Source organism: Homo sapiens, chromosome 4 (genome assembly GCF_000001405.40).
Source record: "Homo sapiens chromosome 4, GRCh38.p14 Primary Assembly".
NCBI classification, from domain to species: Eukaryota; Metazoa; Chordata; class Mammalia; order Primates; family Hominidae; genus Homo; species Homo sapiens.
This window is the reverse complement of record NC_000004.12, coordinates 121792840-121798895: the sequence shown is the minus strand read 5'-3', so window position 1 is coordinate 121798895 and position 6056 is coordinate 121792840. Positions and strand designations below refer to the sequence as shown.

Sequence of the window (6056 nt, the reverse complement as noted above, 5' to 3'; positions counted from 1 at the left end):
TTCACCATGTTGGTCCGGCTGGTTTCAAACTCCTGATTTCAGGTGATTCGCCCACCTTGGCCTCCCAAAGTGCTGGGATTACAGGAGTGAGCCACCGCACCTGGCCTCACCTTCTGTTCTTAAAAGAAGAATCAGTTGGAATCAGCATATTAATCTGGATGATCTGTCTAAAAATAACCTAGTTCTCAACAAACTATTTGAGTGTGCATTCTCTTTATTGAACATCAGTTGCTTTGTCTGACCAGCAGCCTTCTATTTCTTGGAGAAATGCCCTTTCCTGACCCCATGCGATTCTAGTGAGCCAATACATTTGAGTTGGTCTTTGTAAAAGTGTGTCCGAAGGAATTCTAGTACATTTCTACTAGAGTATAAAGTCTATGTCTTCTTCACCTTTGTAGCACCCACTGAGACTGGTAGTGTACCTTGTGAATCAAAGGATGAATGGCCTACTTAGCACATCTGGTGAAAGAATTAATGGGTGGAGGCCAGGTGCGGTGGCTCACGCCTGTAATCCCAGCACTTTAGGAGGCCAAAGCAGCCAGATCACTTGAGGTCAGGAGTTTGAGACCAGCCTGGCCAACATGGTGAAACCCCCGTCTCCACTAAAAATACAAAAATTAGCTGGGCATGGTGGCACACACCTGTAATCGCAGCTACTCAGGAGGCTGAGGCTGGAGAATCGCTTGAACCCAAAAGATGGAGGTTGCAGTGAACTGAGATTGTACCACTGCACTCCAGCCTGAACAATAGAGCAAGAATCCATCTCAAAAATAAAAAAAGGCTGGGCACAGTGGCTCATGCCTGTAATCTCAGTACTTTGGGAGGTCAAGGTGGGCAGATCACTTGAGTTCAGGAGTTCGAGACCAGCCTGACCAACATGGTGAAACCCTGTCTCTACTAAAAATACAAAAATTAGCCAGGCATGGTGGCCCACACCTGTAATCCCAGCTACTCGGGAGGCTGAGGCTGGAGAATCACTTGAACCTGGGAGGCAGAGGTTGCAGTGAGCTGAGATTGTGCCACTGCACTCCAGCCTGGATGACAGAGTGAGACTCCATCTCAAAAAAAAGAAAAAAATGGGTGGATGAGTGAACAAATGAAAGCTTACCATTTTATTTACCATATATCTGCTGTACAATTTGTCTGTATAGAATTTGGTGTACCAAAAGTTATCCTGGAAGGGTATAATATGAAATATTAAAAATGGTTATCTCTGAGTGATAGGATTTTGGGAAAAGGTTTTTATTTCATTTTGCTATTTTTTCTTTATGAACTTTCCAAATCTTCTGTAAGGCATGTGAATAGCTTTTATTATCAGAAAAAGTAAAAAGTAAAAAGGTGTTATGTTTTCTTTTTATTGTTTGGCCATACTTAGCTAATTTTTTTATTTAAGGGAATTTTGACTTTCAACTACATTTTAACAAAGACATTTGTTTTGTTTTTTTTCAAGATTCAAACGGGAAACCACTTATCAGTTAATATGTTGAAAAGATTTTATGTATTGACAACTGAATATGTCAAATATAGTGCAGGCCTGGCGCGGTGGCTCACGCCTGTAATCCTAGCACTTTGGGAGGCTGAGGCGAGTGGATCACAAGGTCAGGAGATTGAGACCATCCTGGCTAACATGGTGAAATCCCATCTCTACTAAAAATACGAAAAAAATTAGCCGGGCGTAGTGGCAGGTGCCTGTAGTCCCAGCTACTCAGGATGCTGAGGCAGGAGAATGGCGTGAACCCGGGAGGCGGAGCTTGCAGTGAGCCGAGATCGCGCCACTGCACTCCAGCCTCGGCTACAGAGTGAGACTTCGTCTCAAAAAAAAAAAATGTAGTGCAAATTTCCCTCGCATATGTTTTATGGGAATTATAGATTTTTAAGTCCATTAGATTATCCAGTCCATCTCTAGCTTCCTTGGATATTGAAAAGAGCTTTTCCTTTGACTCTGATTATATCATTTGTTATGTCCAGGAAGCTATATTATTATTATTAAGGCTTTACAATGTATTTAGAGGAATAAAAAATTATCCATTTTCAGCTTATCAAAAATACAACAAATTAGAAGATAATTCAGGGAAGGGACATTTTCATTTCACTTAGATTATGCATATGGCTCTATCTTGGACACATCACTGATGCCCTTGGATTTGTTCTCATCTATTAAAAGAAGATTCATGCTCATCGATAGAAATCTGTAGGAAATTATATTGTTTAATGTCTAAGCAATAAATATGATCTAGAAAAGTTGTCACTTAGTTTTCTACAAATAAAATAAGTGGAATTTGCTATTGTGAATTAAACTAATTGTCATGTAAATAACTTATAGTGTTGTATAGTAAGCAAAACAATGGCCTCTTTTAAAGATTTCCACATTCCAATCTCTGGAAACTGTGAATATGTTGCCTTATATGGCAAAAGTTATTTTGCAGCAGTGATTAAGTTATGGGTTTTCAAATGGGGAGGTTATCCTGGATTAGCTGGGTGAGCCCAAGAAGGAGGCAGGAGAGAGAGACCTGGAAATTTGCATTTTTAACTGGCTCTCTGGTGATGCTGATGCTGCTGGGCAGTGGATCACATTTAAAAGTGGCAAGAGTTTGGATAAAGATGATTTCTGTTCAGTAGACCTTTTGGAATTTATAAATAGGAAGAGTTTAGGATCAGTAATCTGGCCGAAAGGGACTGAAGAACTCAGAAGGCTGCATTTGCTTGGTAATCACACTGCGTTTACTTAGAATGAGAGTTTATTTGGATGGATTGAGGGTGATAGAGGTTATGAGAGAGGAACTAAACAGGCTAGCAAGCTGTGTTTTGTTTTTCTCTCAAAGAGTTTTAACAATATTTGAATCCTTTTGGCAGGGCATATGTTGAAGGCCAAAAGAATGAGGGTCATGATCAACTCAGCATACAACTGAAGGCTATATGAGTAAACAGCAAACTGTTTCTCATGAAAGCAGGATGTTGGCAAACTGACAAACTGCATCTGCCGCCCAGAAGGAATGCTGAGGGGAGTCACAACCCAGGCACAGGTGTTTCTTGTGGTTAGGCACATGTGAAGCCTGTTAGCAATAACGTGAACCTGTGATCAATCAAGCAGCTGACCAATTGTTACCTCCTTCTCCCTGCTCTTTCTACCCGATAAATACGAAGGGCTGCAGAAGCTCAGGGGCTGCTGCCTTTGCTCACTAGAAGCAAGGAGCCCTCTTCTTTTTCCCCTGGTCCCTTCCTTTAAAACAGTTTCTTTTGTTTTAAGTTTTCATTTCTGCATGCGTCCGTTTTCGTTCAGTCTCGTAATGACAGTCTCAAGTAGTGACAGTAGTAAGTCTTGTAATGACAGTCTCAAGTAGTAACAGTAGTAACTGTTGTAGTGACAGTCTCAAATAGTAATGTTTTGTTTTTTGTTTTTTGTTTTTTGTTTTAAGATGGGAGTCTCACTCTGTCACCCAGGCTGGAGTGCAGTGGTGTGATCTCGGCTCACTGCAACCTCCACCTCCTGGCTCAAGCAATTCTCCTGCCTCAGCCTCCCAGGTAGCTGGGACTACAGGCATGTGTCACCAAGCCCAGCTAATTTATTGTATTTTTGGTAGAGATGGGGTTTTGCCATGTTGGCCAGGCTGGTCTCCAACTTCTGACTTCAAATGATCCGCCCACCTCGGCCTCCCAAAGTGTTGGGATTACAGGCATGAGCCACTGTGCCCAGCCCCCTCCAGGTGATTCTTATAAACGTTAAAGTTGGAGAAGCCCTGATCTAAATTTCTAGGAGAGAGATATATATCCAATCTTATCTAGCTCTAGGATTCCCTGTCTGTTTTGTGCAAAATGTGAGGGGAGGTGTCCTCCACTCCCCTGTTCCCATAAGGCAGTGCTAACTGCCTGCTTACAGATTTCCAGAGTTAGGTGGAATTCCTGCTATGTGCTAGGCAGTGTGATTGGTGCCAGCAAAGTTCAATAGGAGGTACTTCCCTACAATGTTTGCTAACTTGCTGTTCACTCACTTTGTGGAAGGAGTGCTTTCAGTGACAATCTAATCTTGAGGCATATTTTAACATCATGATTTTATAAACTCATAGACAATTTTAAGAACAATTTCAGGTTAAGAGAAAAATTGAGCGGAAAGTACACGAAGTCTCCATACACTTTTCCCCCACATACACAACCTCGTCCACCCATCAACAGCCCTCATCAGTGTGGTCCATCTGTTACAGTGAACCAGTATTCGTTATCTGTCTTTTACAGATGCCTATGTTACAAGGTACAGACAGATTGAGTAATCTGTCCAAGTTTGCACAGCTAGTAAGCCACAGAACTAGGATTCATACCCAGACAGCCTGACTCCAGAGACTGTACTCTGTGCTGCTTCTTGTAAATGGGAATTCATTTCTATGGCAAGTGTATTCTCTTCACTCTTAACACCAAACCAGGTTATTGCCTTTCTCTCTGTGAGGATCTTAACTTTCCTCATTTAATTACTTTGCCATCTGATATCCATATAGAGAATAAAGCTGCTATTATTAGATTATCCAAACTCAATTTCTCATGCTTTAACTTGACACACAATTAGAAGTATAATGATGAAGTAGGGCTCATTAATGCAAAGAGACATATGAAGTCTGACTACAATTCCAAAGCTAGCATACAGGCAAGAGTGAGGTTGATATTGAGCTTTTATCACAAGCAATAGGAGGAGTTCTACATGCAAAAGTGGCCCTGGTTCTTGATGGATAGGCTCTTACAGAATACGTTATTTGTACTATGTTGGCCGCTCTCCATTAGCCCAACTCCCAGGGATGCTGTACCCATACCATTGATCAACTCCTTATTCAAATAAATGACTTAAGAGGAAAAGTTTCTATTTTGTATCTCTTCGCTCTTACCCTGCTTGCTTCTTCCTAAAGTTGTCTAACAAGGAAGGCTTAGGCTGTTTCAGAGGCAGCAGCTTCAGCAGAAATGGGAGAACACCAGACGATGCTGACTCTCCCATGAGGTGACCATGGACAGCCTAGGCTGGACTGTGGTATCATGTAGGCACGTTTCTTTTCTTTATCTTTTTTTTTTTAGACATGGGTCTCACTATGTTGCCCAGGTTAGTTTAACTCCTGGCCTCAAGTGATCATCTCAGCTCGGCCTCCTGAGTTACTGGGATTACAGGTGTGAGCTACTGTGCCTGGCTGAAGCGTACATTTCTCTAGCAAGCAATATAATATTATTTTGAGATAGTATTTCAGTGGTAACAGGCCCCTAAGATGGCCCCCAGTGATTCATACCTCCTGATATTTAGGGCCTTATGTGATCCCCTCCCCTTGAATGACTTACTTGTAATCAACAGAATACCTCAACATTAAGGGGATGACACTTCTGTTATTGGATTATAAGAAAATATAACTTCGATCATGCTAGCGGACTCCCTCTCTTGCTGGATTTGATAAAGCAAGTTTCCATGTCAGGGGGCCCACATGACAAGGAACTGAGGGTGTTCTGCAGCCAGTTGCCAGGTAAATATTTGGGACCTAAATCTATATCTCAAAGGGAATTGAAGCCTGACAACAGTCACAGAAGTGAGCTTGTTGAGCTTCCTATGCTGAGCTTTTAGATGAGACTTTAGCCCTCGCTGACATCTTGATTGTAGCTTTAAGAGGGACCCTTAAGCAAACCCTGTTAATGTATGCCTGGGTTCCTGACTCACAGAAACCATGAGATAATAAGTGTATGCTGCTTTAGGCTGCTAAGAAGCAAAAGATGACTAATGCAACTTTGAGCACAAACTCTTCTCAGGTGAGCATTACTTATGAATCTCGTAATTCACTAGACTACTCTCACCTTGATGATAGTATAAATAAAATCCCCATTTGCCTTTTTTTTTTTTCAACATTTGAGGTTATCAAGATGTTGCTAACACCAAGTATGGTGGTGTGCACTTATAATCCCAGCTACTCATGAGGCTGAGGCAAGAGGATTGCTTGAGCCCAGGAGTTCAAGACCAGCTTGGGCAACATGGCAAAACCCTGTCCCCACAAAAAATACAAAAATTGGCCGGGTGTGGTGGCACACACCTATAGTCCCAG

At 41.9% G+C, this 6056-nt stretch overlaps 2 annotated features.

Annotated features, from left to right (window-relative positions):
• Nucleotides 4108–4402: a silencer, noted in NCBI's record as "tiled region #4891; HepG2 Repressive non-DNase unmatched - State 1:Tss". NCBI's record gives its function as "represses a minimal TATA promoter and a strong SV40 promoter by Sharpr-MPRA in HepG2 cells {active_cell/tissue: HepG2}" and the evidence as "EXISTENCE:reporter gene assay evidence [ECO:0000049][PMID:27701403]".
• Nucleotides 4108–4402: an enhancer, noted in NCBI's record as "tiled region #4891; K562 Activating DNase matched - State 8:EnhW". NCBI's record gives its function as "activates a minimal TATA promoter and a strong SV40 promoter by Sharpr-MPRA in K562 cells {active_cell/tissue: K562}" and the evidence as "EXISTENCE:reporter gene assay evidence [ECO:0000049][PMID:27701403]".